We start from the raw sequence: 18,269 nt of genomic DNA on the forward strand, positions 1-18,269 counted from the left end.
CTGAAGCCACTTGTTGGACGAGGGTTTTGTTCCAACATTGGTCTTGCCCCACCCCTAAACAGTCTGCCTAGCACCTAGGGACAGTGCTGAGGGCAGCAGAGGCACTATCTGCAAATGTCTGTGAGGCTATAACTGGAGAGGAGGCTCTTCCACAGGGCTGTGGGAAGCCCTCCCAGAGGCCGAGGCAGACTCCCACCTGCCAGGCCATACCCAATAATGACCCCTGGCCCCAGCACTCTGCCCAGTCTCCAAGGAGGTGCTGGATAGTCACAGGGGCATAAAGAGCACCTCAACAAAGGGAAGTCAGCTGAGACAACCTTGAAAGCTACTTCACCTCTGTCCACGAGGGCTGAGCTGGGCCCAGCATGCAGGCATGACACCAGGTACTCTCTTCCTGGGCTGCATATCCCTGCTTTGGATCCAAGGGCCAACTCTATGCCCTTGGCCAGTTAACAGTTCCAAGTCAGCTTACCCTGGGGAATCAAGCTATTTTTAGGCAAGCTATTTCTGCAGGGGAGAAGGTTCGTAAGGACTAAGATGTTTTATTTATTTATTTATTTATTTATTTATTTATTTATTTAATTTTTTTGAGACAGAGTCTCACCCAGTTGCCCAGGCTGGAGTGCAGTGGCGTGCAGTCTCGGCTTTCTGCAACCTCCACCTCCTGGGTTCAAGCGATTCTCCTGCTTCAGCCTCCTGAGTAGCTGGGATTACAAGCATGCGCCACACAGTGTGTTTTCGTATTTTTAGTAGAGATGGGGTTTCACTATGTTGGCCAGGCTGGACTTGAACTCCTGACCTCAAGTCATCCACCCGCCTCGGCCTCCCAAAGTGCTAGGATTACAGGCGTGAGCCACCATGCCTGGCCTATTTATTTATTTTTTTGAGATGGAGTCTCTGTCTGTCGCCCAGGCTGGAGTGCAGTGGCACGATGTCGGCTCACTGCAACCTCCACCCCCTGGGTTCAAGCAATTCTCCTGCCTCAGCCTCCCAAGTAGCTGGGATTACAGGCGTGTGCCACCATGTGCGGCTAATTTTTGTATTTTTAGTGGAGATGGGGTTTCACCACGTTGGCCAGGCTGGTCTTGAATTCCTGAGACCTCAAGTGATCCACCCACCTCCGCCTCCCAAATTGCTGGCATTACAGGCGTGAGCCACTGCCCTCAGCCAAGATGTTTTAAATTAAAAATGAAACCAGTCACTTGAGCCACAATGATGATCGGACGGCAAAATGCAGGTGTGCAGACATACCCATCTCTGTGCCTCACCTGGTCAATTAGCTGTCTCCTGGATGGGTTGGTCTCCTCAAGGACGTGAGCCCAGAGCTCCGGATCCTTTCTGCATACCAGGTAGCGGGCCTCGCTTTTGAACAGAGAATTCTCATTGCACACCTGAAATGAGCACACTCATGTGTGTGACACAGCAGCCAACCAGCGGAAGCTGCTTGGGAGGACACACCCCAATTCGTTCCCTGTGTGCCTGATACTGGTTTGGTGGACAGTCAGGGCCCAGGCAAGACGCTATGCTTTGACATGGGATGAGCAGCATCCTACAGGGTTAACGATGGACTCAAACTACCTCAAAATGCCCTTTCCAAGTTTACAACAACTCCCAGGGATGTGCCACATATCTGGCCAGTAGGACTTCCTGCATTCAGGGACATGCTCTGTCTCCCATTCTGTCTGATACAGCCACTAGCCATGGGAGGCTACTGAGCCCTTGAAATGTGGTGCGTGACAGGAACTAAACTGGTAATTTTTAATTTAGTTAAATTTAAGTACTCATATGTAGCTAGCTTTAAACCATCTGTAAAATGTTATCAGAACAGCCTAGAACTGGTATAAAACAGCACAAACACTGCAATGTTTCAAGATCTAAAAACTGTAAACTGTGCTTTCACTGGTAGATCTGGAGACCTTTTTCTGAATGTTATAACAGATCTCCAAAACACCAACAGTCCACTGGAATGTTCTAGCGTGTGCAGCACTTGCTAAATCCTGGTGAGGATCAGATCTGTTGAGTGCCAGATGCCCGGCACAAGGCTGAGCGGCGTGCACACGTGCTTGCGGATGCAGCGCAGTCCGCCTGTGTATCACAGGAAAAGCCCAAGCAGGCTGGTGTGGCACCAACCTCACAGGTGCCCTATTCATGTCTGGATTTTTAGATCAAATGATTAGGTAGGAACAGTTCATACAATTCAACCTAAACATGTAATTATATGTGGATCCAAGCCTGGGCAGATGCAGGCAAAAGACCTGGGCAGATGTCTCAAGGAGAGGCCAGCAAGAGCTCATTGGTCAGGTGATGGGGAAGGGCTTGTGTAGAGGGTTACCCCAAAAAGGGGGCATGAAGTACAAGGGTACTCGGGACATGAGGCACCCAGGGAATTGCAGGCCTCTCCAGGTGGGGTGGCAAGATGGATGGCTGATCAAGTTCGGGAGTTGGGAAAGGTGGCAGTCCACAGAGGAGCTCACGAGTCAGGCCAAGGAGTTCAATTCTGCCCTCAAATTGCCAGGCAATAGTAAGGACTGTAAGCAGAGGGATGATAAGTCAGGTTCAGGACCAACTGGTCTACAGGTACAATGCATACAAATTGCATGAGCAAGTTCCCAAAAGCTGTGAGAATCACAAGGAAATAATCTCATGACCTGCCATCTCCAGGTGCACAGAAAGCCCTGATCAGCTCCCCACAGGCACACCTTTGAAAGCTTCCCTGGGAGCCCAGGGTTACATGGGCAGCTCAGCACATCTGCTACCCACCTTGATGAGCTCAAGGTCACACTGCCCCCGCTCATAGGCAACACAGGCCAGATGGGGGTCTCGCTTCTCACAGTAGCGGCCCACCACGCTGCTGTCATAGTAGGCATTCTCTCTCAGGAAGCACTCGGGGCTGTTGTTGCTGTCGATGTAGATTTTAGCCAGTGCATTGTGAGTGGCAGGCTCCTCACAGCCTTCCTGAATCTGGGACTCCAGCCAGGGAAGCAGCAGCTTGAGCCTTTGAAAGAAGGAAGGTGCTGTAAAGTCTCAAGGCTACCACTGGAAGTCTTGAGGGCAACTCCAGGGCTCTGACAGATGTTTCCTGAAACAAAAAATCTCAGAGTCCATTGACTTCAGGTTGCTCTAGGGACCAAGATGGACCTGGTTTCCAAACTGATTTCTACTGTTAGGTTTTCCCCCAAGGTCTTCACAGTACCAATAGCAAGTAACTCATTGCTACATCTAAGATGTGTACATGAACGACCAGCTATAGAGACAGTCCTGGAGAATTAGACAGAAACAACAACAGACACTAGAATCCAGGGGTAAGAGAAAACACCAAGTAAGGACACCTTACCTATTTCTTTTTTCTACTTCAGCCACCAACTCATCAGTAGAGAACTGTCCTCTCACTGCCATGATTAAGTGTTTAATCACTTCCTCAGAACAATCCACATCAAGCAGCCCTCCAATCACAGCTGGGGTCCGGCTAGGGTTGACCTAGGGTAGTCAAGGTCAAGTAACTTCAGTGTTGCAAACACAAGTTATTGTTAGAAGCCTCCTACGACGTGGACAGTTTGGGCAAAACCCTGAAAGGGCTCCTGTTTAGCACTGCGCTGTGTCCCACCAAAATTCACCTGCTGATGTCCTAACCCCTAGTGGGATTCTACTTGGAAAGAGGGTGTTTAAGAAGGTAATCAATGTCAAGGGTGGGGCCCTAATGTAATGGGACTAGTGTCCTTCTAAGAAGAGGAAGAGACACCAGGAGTGCACATGCACAGAGGAAAGGCCCTGTGAGGGCACAGCCAGGAGGCTGTCTGCAAGCGTGGGAGACAGCCTTCACCAGAAACCAGCCCTGCCGACACCCTGATCATGGACTTCCAGCTTCCAAAACTGTGAGAAATAAATGTGTGTTGTTTCAGCTGCCTGGACTGTGGTCTTCTACTCTGGCAGTCTGAGCACACGAACCCACCACCCTTCAAAATGATAGTCTCTGAAATGTCAGGTGTTACAGGCAGCCTCTGAGGGGAAGACTGCCACTGACTGGGGCCCAGAGGCAGCCGGGTGTCACTCCAGGGAGCCAGCAGTACCTTCTGCACGTAGATCTCAATGTACCTCTGCAGGTTGTTGCGGTATAAATATAGGACAAGGTCATGGACAAAGCCAAAACGATCACACACGATGATGAGGGGAAGCTGGTCTGTGAGCTTGGCCTCCTGAGGATTAGAATGCACAGAACAAGTCAGGGAGTGGAGAAACCAGACAGCCAGACCTCGGACTCATTGCACACATGGGACGGCTCTGTCTCTGCAGCAGAGTGACACACAGGAGACTCAGAATGAGACTGCTCTAAATAGGCTGTCGTTTTGTGGTATGGCATTTGCTTTGGGAAATAAGTGAGAGAAAGATATTAGTATTTGGTTAAAGACTGCTACATTTGGCATTAACATTCCAAATCTGGACAAAAATATCTTTTAAGACAAGCAGCTCATTATGTGCAAACCCAACAGAAACCAGGCCATTCTCAAGAACAGCACACCTGCGGTAAGGGCTGCCTTTTCAGACACGCAGCCGCAGGCCATGGAAACACACCCGGCCACCATTCCCAGATGATGATGGCACTTGGGTAGGACAGCCACAGGCCACCACAATCATGCCTCCCCTCATGTGGTCCCGTGCCTAGATCACATTTTGAAGTTTTAAGTGTGGCCACATGACCTCATTTCCTCCAATGGAACGTGAATCCAAGTGTCATCTGCCACTTGCAGGCCTCGCCCATAAAAACCACCTATGCTGGTTCCTCTGTGCTCTTCCCTTCCTCTAGCTGACTGGGAAGACGACATCCAGGTGAGGTGCTGAACACGGCAAAGCAGCCATGAAGCTGGTCCTTGAAGTACAGTGGGAAGGAAAGTCACCCCACTGACCTCCAGCCTACCCTGGACTGCCACATAAGGAAGTAGGCTTCCTGTTCTTTATGACACTAGTGCTGAGTGGTCTACTTGTTTCTGCAGCTTTGCCTGCCTAATTGACAATGGCACTAATGGGATGTTGATGAATTACAATGCAGCAATAAGTGCCAGATACTTAGAGCACAGCCTCAAGCTGCTTTCCACACTCTTAAAACGATAGAAGGGTTACTTTAGAACTTTAAGCCATAAAGTGGAGCTCTGTCCCTGGGACTAAGGGGTCCCTGGCGAGACAGATCCAGCTTCCTGCCCCTGGGACGTCCTGCGGATGGTCTGCCCCACCTGCCATCAGCAAGGGCAGCTCATGGAAGGAGGCAGCACTGGAACACACCTTCAGGAAGTTCTTCACACGCTCTGGGTTGTAGCAGCTGCTCTCTCGGCATATCCTCTCCACCTCCTTGATCTGCCCTGTCTTACAGGCAGCCTGAATGTATTTCAGATGCACATCTGGGTCTTGGCTGAAGTTCACGATTGAGCCCAGGAAGTAGAAGAGGCCTATGAAGAGAGACCATTCCATTTTTGTCCTTGTAACACCTGCCTGTCTCCTCCGTAGCTGCTGCCCACCTTCCCTCGATGACCCTGCTCCACTCTCCAGGGACCCACAGCACACTCAGAACTCATAATCAATATGCCATTTGTCTGTTTTGGCAGCTCCCAAAAATAGCTAGTCGGATTTCCATTATATTTGGCAGGTATACCTGGCATGTTTTGATGTAAAATACTAGATATTTGGTACAAGTGAAATTCCTTTTGTGGGCCCAGGTATACCTAGATAGTCGTCATCAAGAGTAATTCCCACTGAGGTAATCTGAAATGGTGGTGGGACTGCTTCTCTAAAAAGACACATCAAGGGACAGAGAAATAAGCCATGGCCTCCAGGAGGAGGCCTGCAACTCAACACAGAGCTGACAGTGACATGGGCACCACATGCTGAGCCCCAGGGTGAGCCCCAGAGGACAGCATTCACAGAGGCTAATGATGTTCCTCATCATTACAGAGGCCAGCCAGGAGGCACCAGTAACAACAGGGTACGACACATCTGAGAAGGCCCCTCCCTGTCGAGGTCTTTCACTGTAACTGTGAGACCCTGATGCTAGGAAGGGAATGGGCAGCCCCTGGGCTGACGGTTCTCCACCAACCTACTCTACTGCCCTCTCCCAGCCCAGCTCCACTCAATCGTCTGCCATGGTCTTTCCTACAGGGGTGTCTTCTAAAGAGAAGGCCAGTTCCCTGAGGACAGGGTCATGTCCCACCCTCCACCGATGCCCCAACCTCACTGGACACATGGCAGTGGCTTGATGCCTAGACAAATGCTTAGTCTCTATCCTGGGTGGGCCAGACAGCCCCCATCTGTCCCTAACAAAGCCACTCCCATCCCAACTGCCCTAGAACACTTTTTTGGTGTGATGTCCAAGAAGGGGAAAGGAAGACAACCAGGTTACCTTGTCAGCCCCCCACAATCAACTGGGTAGCAGACACCACAAAGCAATGCACCCTCTATCGTGGGCTCTCATTTAGGAGAGGCCCAAAGAGCCTCCCTCCTGGGGCTGTAAAGACCAGACATCAGGCCCTTTCACTGTACCCACGACACAGGCTTTTAGATGAATTCTTGCCAGACTGTGCTGCGTAGACACACCGGGCTCCATAAGTTTCTCCATCCCATCACCAACCAACCTGATTTCTTCCTTTGGAAATACCAAAAAGGTTACTGAAGCTGAGGGTGCACATGAGATGGCAGTAGCATTCTGCCACCGACTGAGCACCCAAGGCAGCCAGTGCTGCATCCTGCCTGGCTTTGCAGGAAGGCCGTCTTAAGGCGGGCAGGTAGGCAGCAACACCTGAGAAAGGAGGTGTAGTCACATGGTGGGGTCGGCGAGAGGCTGCATGGTTTACCTTTGTAACTCTTGAAGGATTCAAAGAGCTCCACCAGGGCCTGCGTGCCCAGCTGCTCGTGGTACTTAGAGGCCACCTGCACACACAGCTGAAGGTTCTGTCTGATGTTAGCAGACAGCATGGCATGCAGACACTCCACAGAATCCTCCACCGATAAGGAGCCAAAGAAATTGACAAGCCACTGGGAACAAGGAAGAGTCTGTCCACAACGATGCACCACTCTAAAGATTGCTAACACTTGGAAAATAACTAGGTCATTCTCCTGTTCCCCTGAGTGTCAAAAATACAGAGAATTTCCACATAAAGGGGTTGAAAAGCAACTATCCATCACGGGAAAAAGTAGGAGCAAGGAGTAAAGCTGGGAAAAGACACTGATCTAAACTGTTCACCTGGAATATTCCACAGATGATGCTAAAACTTATTCCATAAATTGGAACACAATAGCTAGTTTAGCTTTGCTAATGGTTTCAGACAGTCCTATTAGGTTGTCAATGTTAAAAGGTGACCAGTATACTCCTGCTATTAGACTAAGTCAAAGGTGGATATCAGAAAGAAAGGTGCTACAGGGCCCAGACATGCTGCTGAGCAGATAAACTTTGTGCGTGGGCTGAATTAGAACTGCTTTTGGTAGTAAAGTATGGTAGGTTAGGGCAGTGACAGGCTCAGGCCACAGTTCCACAATCACCAACAGGTGAACACTGGGGAGCATGTGACATTAATTGCATAGACAACAGCCATAATAGGAGTGCCCAGGGGTACACAGTACCTCGGGATTGAGGAGGTGAGTGTGGACCACAGCCCTCTTGATGTCATAGAGGTCGGTGTAGTGCTCCAGTGCTTGCTGCAGGAGGCCTGCCTTCTCACAGAGCTGGGCAATGTGGGCCCGGTCGTAATGAGTAAACATTTTATTTCCAAGGATGGCATCTGCAACCTATGAAACAGGGAGTTCGGTGAGAAGCCCTGATCAATGGCAATAACTTTTTAAGACCAGCTGCTCAATCTTGCCCCAGGGTAGGGTATAGCCTGGCAACCAGAACTCACAGGCCCCTGTCCACATCCATACCTCTGTGGTGGCAGCAGTGCTTGTGGGTCCCAAATCCCTGGCTGTCCTTCAAGCCATCTTAGGCCCTTTGCACAAGGCTTCATTCTCCCATGTTGCAGCTGGGCCAAGCCCATGTGGTCACAGAGTTGGGCCTGTGAGAAAGGCTGAGGCTCCATAAAGCCCTATTACTGGGATGAGTCCAAGTCACTGTTGCAGCTTTTAAGCAATCACATTCTTTTTTTCCTTTTTTTTTCTTTTTTTGAGACAGAGTCTCACTCCATCACTCAGGCTGGAATGCAGTGGCACAATCTCAGCTCACTGCAACCTCCATCTCCCAGGTTCAAGCGATTCTCATGTCTCAGCCTCCCAAGTAGCTGGGATTACAGACGCACACCAACATGCCTGGCTTATTTTTGTATTTTTAGTAGAGACAGAGTTTCGTCATGTTGGCCAGGCTGGTCTCGAACTCCTGACCTCAAATGATCTGCCCACCTTGGCCTCCTAAAGTGCTGAGATTATAGCCGTGAGCCACCGTGCCCAGCCAGCAATCACATTCTTATAGGGTTTCTATGGCAAGATCAATGTGAGGGCTCAAGTCTACCGATTCTCCTTGAATGAGCTCAAGCCTTAGATTAGCAATGACCAGAAGGAGACCTGAACAAAACAAATCCCATTTGTGCTTACTAGACTTCTCTACTAGGCTAAATACAGAACTAGGAGTTGGGGATTGCATTTAAAAAACAATGAACACTCCTGGAAACAATTTTGATGAGGCATAAAATCTTTTTTTTTTTTTTTTTTTTGAGACAGGGTCTCACTCTGTTGCCCAGGCGAATGGAGTGCAGTGGTGCAATCTCGGCTCACTGCTGCTTTGACCTCCCAGGCTCAAGCAATCCTCCCACTTCAGCCTCCCAAGCAGCTGGGATTACAGGCACATGCCACCACACCTGGCTACTTTTTTTTTTTTTTTTTTTTGAGATGGAGTCTCGCTCTGTTGCCAGGCTGCAATGCAGTGGCATGACCCCACCCTGCTCACTGCAACCTCCGTCTCACGGGTTCAAGTGATTCTCCTGCCTCAGCCTCCCAAGTAGCTGGGACTACAGGCATGCGCCACCACACCCAGCTAATTTTTGTATTTTTAGTAAAGACAGGGTTTCACCATGTTGGCCAGGCTGGTCTCGATCTCTTGACCATGTGATCCACCCGCCTTGGCCTCCCAAAGTGCTGGGATTACAGGTGTGAGCCACCGCACCTGGCCCACCTGGCTAATTTTTATATTTTTTTGTAGAGATGGGGTTTGGCCGTGTTGTCCATGCTGGTCTCAAACTCCTGGGCTCTGCTCACCTTGGCCTCCAAAAATGCTGGGGTTATAGGCGCGAGCCACTGCACCCAGCCACTAAATATTCTCTTGAAGTAAGTAATTTTTGGGCTAAGACTGGATAGGTCAACACAGCAGCCTTGCAGCATGGCTGAGTGAGTGCTCCCTCAGTATCTAATGATGGTCTTGACAAGCTACACTCCTGGGTGCCTTCCCCTGCCACCTGGCACACTCTTTCTTATTCCTTCTAGGATCTGCATCACCAACCAGGTATGGCCACAGAGTGACCACAGCCACTGTCACACACCAGACCACTTCAGAGTGATGCACAGAGTTGACGATCAAACACAGTACTAAGAGTAGGGCTTTAGAACATCTAGCACTTACCTGAGTCTCCTATCCTTTGTTTCCTTCAGGTTTATCTTTACTTCTTGTTTTCAAACATTTTCTCCTCATAGCAACAGTGTATTTTATAGAATGTAGAAACCATCACGCAGTCCTACTGCCCAGAGAAGACTGCCAGCGTCCTGGGGCACTAAGCCAGAGCCTGCTGGCACCTCACCCAACTACTTGTTTCTCCTTTAGGGTCTGGGCATTCCTTAGGGTCTGTCTGCCAAGTTTCTGAGTGACGCTTGGTGTGTTTCAAATCTCATTCACCAGAAACGGTTACATACACTCACAAAGTCATGAGAGTCCAGTAGACCCCAAGCAGCAAATTAACAGTACTTTTATTTCCTAGAGTTGGAATATGACCCACTTCTTAGCAGCTAACTTGTAGATTTGAATAAATTGAGGTAACAGAACAATATACTTAATATGTTGTTTCCTAATTATAAAAACAGTAAGTGATTATTAAAGAAAAATCAGAAGAGATAAGTAAAGAACAAAGTGAACTTGTACAATCTTATCCACTTAGTACCGTGGTGAACAGCTTGATATAAACTCCTCTAAATCCCTTTCTTGTATATATATCTAAATTTAACCCAAAATAGCACAGACATGTGATTTGATTATACCTGCTCCCACAAGTTTCAGGCCAACAAATGATGCCTCACCACAGTGAGATACCACTGCACGCCCATTAAGATGGTGATTACTATTATTATTATTTTAGACAGGGAAGATGTGTTGGCAAGGATATACAGAAATTGGAACAGCTGAGCATTGCTGGGAAGAATATAAAATGGTACAGCCTCCTGGAATACAGTATGGTGGTTCCTCAAAAAGGTAAACATAGAATTACTGTAGGACATGATCCAGCAAGTCCACTTCTGGATATATGCCCAAAAGAATTAAAGCAGGGTCTCAAATAAATCTTTGTACACCCATGTTAACAGCAGCATTATTCACAATAGCCTAAAGGTAGAAGCAACCCAAATGTTCATCAATGGATGAATGGATAAACACATGTCATATATACACATGGTGGACTATTACTCAGTTTCAAAAATGAAGGTGTTTCTAACACATGCTACAACATGGATGAACCTTGAAAATAATATGCTAAGTGAAAAAAGCCAGGTAAAAGGACAAATATTTTGTGGTTCCATGTATATGAAATATCTTGAAAAGCCAAATTAATAGAGACAGATTAGAATGGCAGTTGTCAGGGGCTGGGAAATGAGGAGTCACTGCTTAACAGTTACATAGTTACTCTGGGATAATAAAAGTTCTGGAACTATGTAGTGGTAATGGCTGCATAGCATTGTGAATGTTCTTAATGCCACTGTATCAGACACTTAAAAGTTGTTAAAATGGTAAATTTGGTTATGTATATTTTACCACAATGAAAAAAAGAAGAAAGGAAGAAATGCTGCCCTAATTAGAACTGTTTCCATGAAAGTCCTGTATCATGATTTCTGGAAAATCCTTTTAAGGAAAGTCATGGAGAATGTCCACTGAGAAGTACAAGATAAACATCTGGCACAAGCCCAGCCCAGTCCAAAGCCACTGTGCTCAAGTCTGCAAACCCAGAGAGGTGCCACAGGTGCTCTGCCTCTCGGTGTTAGCCTACAAGTCACTGACCTGGGGTGCATGAACAAGGTTCATCTCCAACAGCCATGTCTGCAGGAGTCCCTCAGCTGGGCGATTATTCTTCAAGGCATCCAATAAGAAGGAAGTACACTGCTGAATTAAACTGTTTTCCATGAAAATGTCCACAATCTGAAACATATCCAAGCCACATTTTCACTCAGTATGTTTTCATTCAGTGTTTCATTTTCCTATTGAAATAGTTCCTGAAATATTATCTCATTTAGAAATTCAGCAATTAGTTCCCTCCCTTGGTTTTTTTTTTTTTTTTGAGATGGAGTCTCGCTCTGTCACCCAGGCTAGACTGCAAAGGCACAATCTCAGCTCACTCCAATCTCTGCCCTCCACCTCCTGGGTTCAAGCGATTCTCCTGCCTCAGCTTCCCAAGTGGCTGAGACTACAGGCACCCGTCACCACACCCAGCTAATTTTTCTATTTTTAGTAGAGACACGGTTTCACCATGTTGGTCAGGCTGGTCTCGAACTCCCGACTTCAGGTGATCCGCCCGCCTCGGCCTCCCAAAGTGCTGAGACTACAGGCATAAGCCACTGCGCCCGGCCCCTTTCCATTTTCTTCTGTCATCGCAATTCACATACAGCCAGGTGTGGTGGCATGTGCCTATAGTCCCAGCTACTCAGGAGGCTGAGGTGGATGCATTCCTTGAGCCCAGGAGTTGAGACCACTGTGGGTAATGCAGTGACCTCATCTCAACAACAACAACACAATTCACGTAATTTATGGTCATTAATTTATTAATAATCTTGCAAAATCATATCACCTACATCATACTTATCAGTGAGGTATTTTACTGAAGTATATGAAAGGGAGTAACTTTTATAACATATGAACCCCCAAGCAGTAATCATACATTACTTAATCACATCCTAGAGGCAGCTGTGATGCTTAACTTTAGGTGTCAGCTTGACTGGATTAAGGAACACATAGAGAACAGGTAAAGCATTCCTTCTGGGTGTGTTTGTGAGGGCATTCCCAGAGGAGACTGGCATGTGAGTTGGGGGAACAAGTAGAATGATCCACTCTCAATGTCGGGGAACACCATCTAATCGGCTGGGGGCACAAAAAAGGAAAGAATAGATTTCTTCTCTCTTTCTCCTGGAGCTGGGACATTCTCCACCTCCTACCTTTGGACATCAGAACTCCAGGCTCCCCAGCCTTTGGACTCCAGGACTTACACCAAAGGCCCCCCAGGGTTCTCAGGCCATTGGCCTCAGACTGAGAGTTACGCCTTCAGCTTCCCTGGTTCTGAGGCTTTCAAACTTAGATTGAGCCACGCTACCAGAATCCAAGGTCTCCTCTAGCTTGCAGACAGTCTATCACAGGACTTCTCAGCCTCCATAATCACGAGCCAATTCTCCTAATAAACTCCCTCTCATATATCTGAGATAGGGTCTCACTCTATTGCCTAGGCTGAAGCAGTGACAAGGTCACCACTCACTGCAGCCTCAACCTTCAGGGCTCAAGCGATCCTCCCATCTCAGCCTCCTGAGTAGCTGGGACCACAGGTGTGCACCACCATGCCTGGCTAACTTTTAAAAAATTGTTTGTAGAGATGGGGGTCTCACTATGTTGCCCAGGCTCCCTTTCATATAGCTATAGCTACGCTATTGATTCTGTCTCTCTGCAGCATCTTGACTAACAAAGCAGCTGATACTTGATATCTAACTCATATATATCATTATATTATTGGGGCACAACTGGGAAAATGCAAATATTTACTTAGACAATTATTAAAGTTAAATTGATGTTAATTTAAATAATTAATATGCCTTAGTAAGATGTGAAATACAGGAATAAATTTAATAATTGTTTTTGAAGGACAGCTTTACAGGAAAATAAAAAAGAACTTATTAACTGTGGAACTTCTCATAAAGTATGAGAAGTTTATATTTTGAACAACTTTAAAATATGAACTGTAAACAAGATGTGAACTGGAAATTTCTTTCCTATTGAAAGCTAAGTAAATTTGTCTCAAATCTCTTATTCATGTTCTCCAAAATATCTGCAGATTCCCAGATGTACAAACACATACAACTGCACTTATTATTTCTAAACAGTTGTTGGTTCTGATGCCTTGCTTCAAGCTTTGTTACACATCTATATATCATCAAAGCTCCTTGTACCAATTTACTGAAAGTGACTTGTCATGTGTTTACATCTAAATTTTAAGTAGGTTACACTAAAAAACAGGCTGATGCTCACGTAATCCAGGTCAGTCAGACACCCACAGGATGAACATCTGGGGGACGCAACAGCACTAGCTCCTGGTGCTCAGGCCAATGGTCAGGGAGAGACAATGATGTAGTAACTGGGGTGGGCCACGGGATGGAGGGCTGGAACCTAAATGACATCCTCACACCCTACACCATCACCACCCAAAGACACAAACCCAAACAAACATTCTCTAAAGTACTTCAAAACAAAGGAAGCAATGAGTACTCACATAGTAAAGACTAGAAGACAAACTCCCCAAGTACACTAGATTTTTTAAAACTGCAAGATTAATAGCAGATGAAGAAAAGCATTGAGACAAGTTAACAGGAAACGAATCAAAGAAATCTTCTAGATGGCTCTAAAAAGCCACAAAAAGTTGTCCAAAACTGCCTACGCTCACCTGGCTAATGTTGGCCAGCGGCTCCTCGTCCTGCACTAGCATTCGAGAAAACTGCAGGCCCTGTTCCGGACTGATCTTCATTACACCCCTCAGCAGAAAGATCCAGTCTGGGGTGTACCCAACCTAGAAGCAAGGGAGCACCAATCAGGAAAATCAATGAAAAACCCTGGGCATTAGAAAAGGAAGTTATCCATCCTTTGTTTTAAACTCGTGTTAACAAAGAAATGAGCAGCAACATTATCATGTGTAGGTACCACCTTCTGCCAAACACAATATCCAATTAAATGAATTGATTTAATGTACATGGAAGGCACAATTAACTATACAAAGAGCCCAGACCACAAAGAAGTTTCCTGATCTGTGTGCAAACACAGCCTGCCAGTAAGCACACAGGGATAAGATCTGGGAGTCTGCCAAAATATCAAATTAACATACAGAAGGAAGAGAGGGAGAGAAAAAACAAGATAAAGCTCCCAAATAAAACGAAGATGGAAGGACTGGAAAACTAAGGATAATAAAAAGCTGAAGAGAATAAAATATGATCATTATGAATAAAGATCCTAACAGCAACATTGCCAACTCTCACACCAGAGGACTTACAAAGAAGGGTATTTTATAAACTTTAAAATCAGCAACCACTCAACCACACGTGAGTAATCTGTGAGATGCCAGTGGTTCAACACACGTTACCTTTTTGGCATAGAGCACAATTTTCTGGAATTGGCCTGTTTCTGCAAAACACTGGATCACTTTGCTTGGCACATTTGCCCGAAGGTACACACTCAGAGCGAGCATGGGGTCAGTGGTTTTGACCAAGTCTCCGAGCTCCTCTGAGCACTCCAGCTGTGGTATGCCAAGGGACAAGGCAAAGTTAGGAGGCAGGTAGGGAGCCTGGACCAAGTTTTCAAGCTGTGCGGGGGGGCTACGAGCTCACAAGTGTTTCTACCTTATCTTCTTTCAGCCACTTCTCTAGGAGTTGCTTACGCCCCTGCTGAAGAACCAGATGGCAAAGTTCTAAGGATTCAAGTTTATTGAGCTGACCCTGGTCGAGCAGGATTCCGAAGTACTGCAGCAATGGAGAAGCCTGGCCAGACTGAGCGGGTATACTCTGGAATTTCTGGACCGTCTCTCTGGTACGCAGGATTCCCTAATAATAAATGGAAAAATAGGTCATTGTGTTGTAATCACAGGGGATCCCTTCACTCAACTTCCTTGTATGTAAAAACAAAAATCTGCCAGTGGAAATTCCACACTGCTCTGTCATAGACAAAAAGTCCTCTACCAAGGCAACTGCTTCTATCTTCAACAATAACCATAAGTATAGGGGAATCTAGGTCCTCCAGGTGGCTTCACACTTAGGGTCTTACTTCTCCCCCAGCATGCTGCAGTAAGAATTCGGCCTCTCAATCAGTCTTGTAGTAGTGAAGTTCTGCTATCATTATATTCTAATTCAAAATACTCAAATTCACAGATGAAGGCTAGAAATGGTTTGTTCACAACTACCCCTTGAAAGACAAGAAAAATTCTTTCAAGGACAAGCAACTTGAAAGTCTTTATCTACTCAGGAACAGATCCAGTCTCTGAACAATTTATCCAAATGAAATAAACCCAAGAAAAAGCCATATGCCGAAATGCTATATTCTAAAAGAGTGGAGAAAGTCCAGGGTAGGACTATCGCTAGATAAAACAGGGAACAACCACTTGATGTATTGTACAGTTGCATATTTGACAACCAGGTAGCAAGAGTGGAAAATGCTAAGTTACAGAAATGTGAAACTGTATCTAAGCTGTTGGGTGAGAGGTACGTATGCACACAAAGTGGGAGGCGTGAAGAAGTGCCGATGCAGCAAGAGTGTGTTTTTTGTTTACTTCCTTTACTGTTATGCCATTGGTGCAAAAATTTTAAACTAAAAACTCCTAACATAACACTAATAGACTGCAATATCACTAGTGAAATGCTTTTATGACTTATTTTCCTCTCAAGGTTGGTTCTTAACACTCAGAACACTTGAACAGTATTCAAGGTTTATCACCTTTGGTGCAGACGCTGCAACTTTGGCGGCTTCAGCATAGCTGCCCTGTGCAAAGAGGGTATTGAATTTTCTCACAAACAACTTCTCTGCCCCAGCCAGGTTACTACGAACGGCCAAACGCAGACCAAGGTCTGGATTCTGAAGCACGTTGGTTGCATAATTCACAATGTTATCTTCCTCAACACAAACTGACAGTACCTGTAAGGACACAACAAGTGAGAGCAGCCCGGCCTAGAAGAGTGCTCCACCATCCCTCTGCCATGTTCCCTTCCGATGCTGGAGTGGTAGCCACATTCTCAGGCGAGTGTTGAGCACACCTGTGATGGTGGCCCTCACAGTGAAAGGAGGCAAAGCAGCCGAAAGCCAAATGGTAACAAAACAGAACAGCATAGGAGTCTATGTAGTTATTAAAGTCACACAGATAAGTGTGATGCGTTCTGCGCTACAGCAAAATGACCTATGTGGATGGAACTGACAATTTTTCTTCTTAAACTTTTTATTTTTAAAGTACAGAGTTTCTTTCTTTTTTAAAAAATATTTTTGTAGAGACAGGGTCTTACTATGTCGCTCAGGCTGGATTCAAACTCCTAGCCTCAAGCAATCCTCCTGTCTCAGCCTTCCAAAGTGCTGGGATTATAGGAATCAGCCACTGTTCCCGACTTTTTTTTTTTTTTCCCCTGAGACAGGCTCTCACTGTTTCACCCAGGCTGGAGTGCAATGGTGTGATCACAGCTCACTGCAGCCTCAAACTCCTGGGCTCAAGCCATCCTCCTGCCTCAACCTCCCATGCAGTTGGGATTACAGGCATAAACTATTGTGCCCAGCCAAGAGTTTCTTCTTTTAACTATCTTTTTCAACTATGGTTGAGAAAAGTTACTTAAATACCATAGTATCTGCTTTTTCAACCCTCCCCAGTTAGGGTGTGCATGGTATAAAGATGATGTGCATCAGAACTGCTGTTCTATACGCAGGAAGGAGCTGCTCTCCTCCTGGAATCAATCCTGTGTTAGGAATGGTGCTGTCTGAAGAGAGGAAGTGTCAATATGAAGGAGGAGACATGGGTTTAAGTTTAATAACAGGAACTATTAATAGCTACACCCAGCTGCTTTCCTAGAGAAGGGGGAAAGTTTAAACGCCAGTCCCTAATGAATGGAAAAGGTAGAAAATGAAATGTCAGAGTTACACACCTGTCCCTTTTTGTTGACACCAATAATTCCAGAGGTTGGTTTGTGTGGAGCAGTGACAAATATTGTGTCAGCACTAATACGGTTCATGCAGATGCACACGCCAGACTCTAGGTCGTACAGATGAAGATAGCCATACTTTGTGATCAAGTAAATAACACCATGTTTAGCTCCAATCTATAAGAAGACAGAGAGCAAGAGGTTGGAAAGTAAGGAGGAGAAGCCATGCGGGTAAAAAGAGCTCACAAATGATAAAGAGGATTCTTGTTTGTTTGTTTGTTTTTTGAGATAGGGTCGTGCTCTGTCACCCAGGCTGGAGTGTAGTGGTGCCACCATAGCTCACTGCAACTTCCGACCTCTGGGCTCAGGTGATCCTCCCATCTCAGCCTCCAATGTAGCTGGGACTACAAGTGTGAGCTGCCACACCTAGCTATACAAGGATTCTTCAGTTTCTCAGGCCGAGAGATTACTGGTGGGAGCAATGCTTTCCTGAGACATGGATTCTAAGTTGTACTTGATTGAGAATTAGTTTTAAAGACAATATTTTGTCCAACCACTCTCAAATAAAGGTCCAATAAACTCAGGCTACTCCATTTATCTTTCAGGTAGAGCGATCCTTTCACAGTTTATCGAACCCCTTTAAGCAAGCTGTGAGTTCATAAGAGAAGGGGAAAGTTCTGGACAAAGACCTCAAACGCCAAGATGATGTTCCAGCATGCCTTCTACCACCACTTATTAACCTTTGAGTTTTGCCAAATGCTATTAACTTTTACAGAAAAATATTTAACACACAAGAAAACCTGAAGGGGCTGGGGAGAAAAAACAGATGCATTTGCCCAACCAGATTATTAAACATATATATTAAAACAGACAGTAATTTTTGAAGTATGATTTTACCACTGGAAGAGACAGAGAGAGAAAATAATTAAGAGCCCTGAAAGAGAATGAATCATATATGAGAATTTATTAAGAATGAGTGTGTGGTGGCTAATGACTATAGTCCCAGCTACTTGGGAAGCCAAGGCAGGAGGATCACTTGAGCCCAGGAGTTTGAGTCAAACCTGGGCAACGTAGCAAGACTCCAACTCTAGAAAAATAAATAATTAGTAGGTAACATATTAGTGGAAAATAGGCACTTTAATCAATATATAACATATATTATTAATATAGTTAGCTAGCTATCTGGAGATGGA

The 18,269-nt window shown here is 46.0% G+C and overlaps 1 protein-coding gene across 21 annotated transcripts in view, besides 2 other annotated features; it reads right to left on the minus strand.

Annotated features, from left to right (window-relative positions):
* Window positions 1-18,269, minus strand: part of CLTCL1 (clathrin heavy chain like 1) — a 112,247-nt gene that overhangs the window by 39,144 nt on the left and 54,834 nt on the right. For 15 of the 21 annotated variants that reach the window (XM_047441517.1, XM_047441515.1, XM_017028954.3 and 12 more), the window contains 13 exons: window positions 17,080-17,253; window positions 15,893-16,090; window positions 14,806-15,006; window positions 14,550-14,702; window positions 13,860-13,982; window positions 11,222-11,359; window positions 7,603-7,767; window positions 6,837-7,017; window positions 5,275-5,438; window positions 4,068-4,193; window positions 3,335-3,477; window positions 2,761-2,995; window positions 1,269-1,391 (listed from right to left, as the gene is read on the minus strand). In XM_047441517.1, coding sequence (XP_047297473.1) covers window positions 1,269-1,391; window positions 2,761-2,995; window positions 3,335-3,477; window positions 4,068-4,193; window positions 5,275-5,438; window positions 6,837-7,017; window positions 7,603-7,767; window positions 11,222-11,359; window positions 13,860-13,982; window positions 14,550-14,702; window positions 14,806-15,006; window positions 15,893-16,090; window positions 17,080-17,253 — 2,124 coding nt within the window. Of the gene's footprint in view, window positions 1-1,268; window positions 1,392-2,760; window positions 2,996-3,334; window positions 3,478-4,067; window positions 4,194-5,274; window positions 5,439-6,836; window positions 7,018-7,602; window positions 7,768-7,899; window positions 7,991-11,221; window positions 11,360-13,859; window positions 13,983-14,549; window positions 14,703-14,805; window positions 15,007-15,892; window positions 16,091-17,079; window positions 17,254-18,269 lie in introns of those variants that run through there. The other 6 variants (XM_047441518.1, XM_047441516.1, XM_047441513.1 and 3 more) reach the window with 2 other exon arrangements.
* Window positions 4,765-5,316: an enhancer, noted in NCBI's record as "NANOG hESC enhancer chr22:19210904-19211455 (GRCh37/hg19 assembly coordinates)". NCBI's record gives its function as "activates a minimal SCP1, AML or CMV promoter by ChIP-STARR-seq in naive H9 embryonic stem cells {active_cell/tissue: H9 hESC(naive)}" and the evidence as "EXISTENCE:reporter gene assay evidence [ECO:0000049][PMID:30033119]".
* Window positions 14,612-15,811: an enhancer, noted in NCBI's record as "BRD4-independent group 4 enhancer chr22:19220751-19221950 (GRCh37/hg19 assembly coordinates)". NCBI's record gives its function as "activates an origin of replication core promoter dependent on BRD2, P300/CBP, MED14 and CDK7 cofactors, and independent of BRD4, by STARR-seq in HCT116 cells {active_cell/tissue: HCT116}" and the evidence as "EXISTENCE:reporter gene assay evidence [ECO:0000049][PMID:35650434]".

The sequence above is a fragment of the Homo sapiens genome, chromosome 22, assembly GCF_000001405.40.
Source record: "Homo sapiens chromosome 22, GRCh38.p14 Primary Assembly".
NCBI lineage: Eukaryota > Metazoa > Chordata > Mammalia > Primates > Hominidae > Homo > Homo sapiens.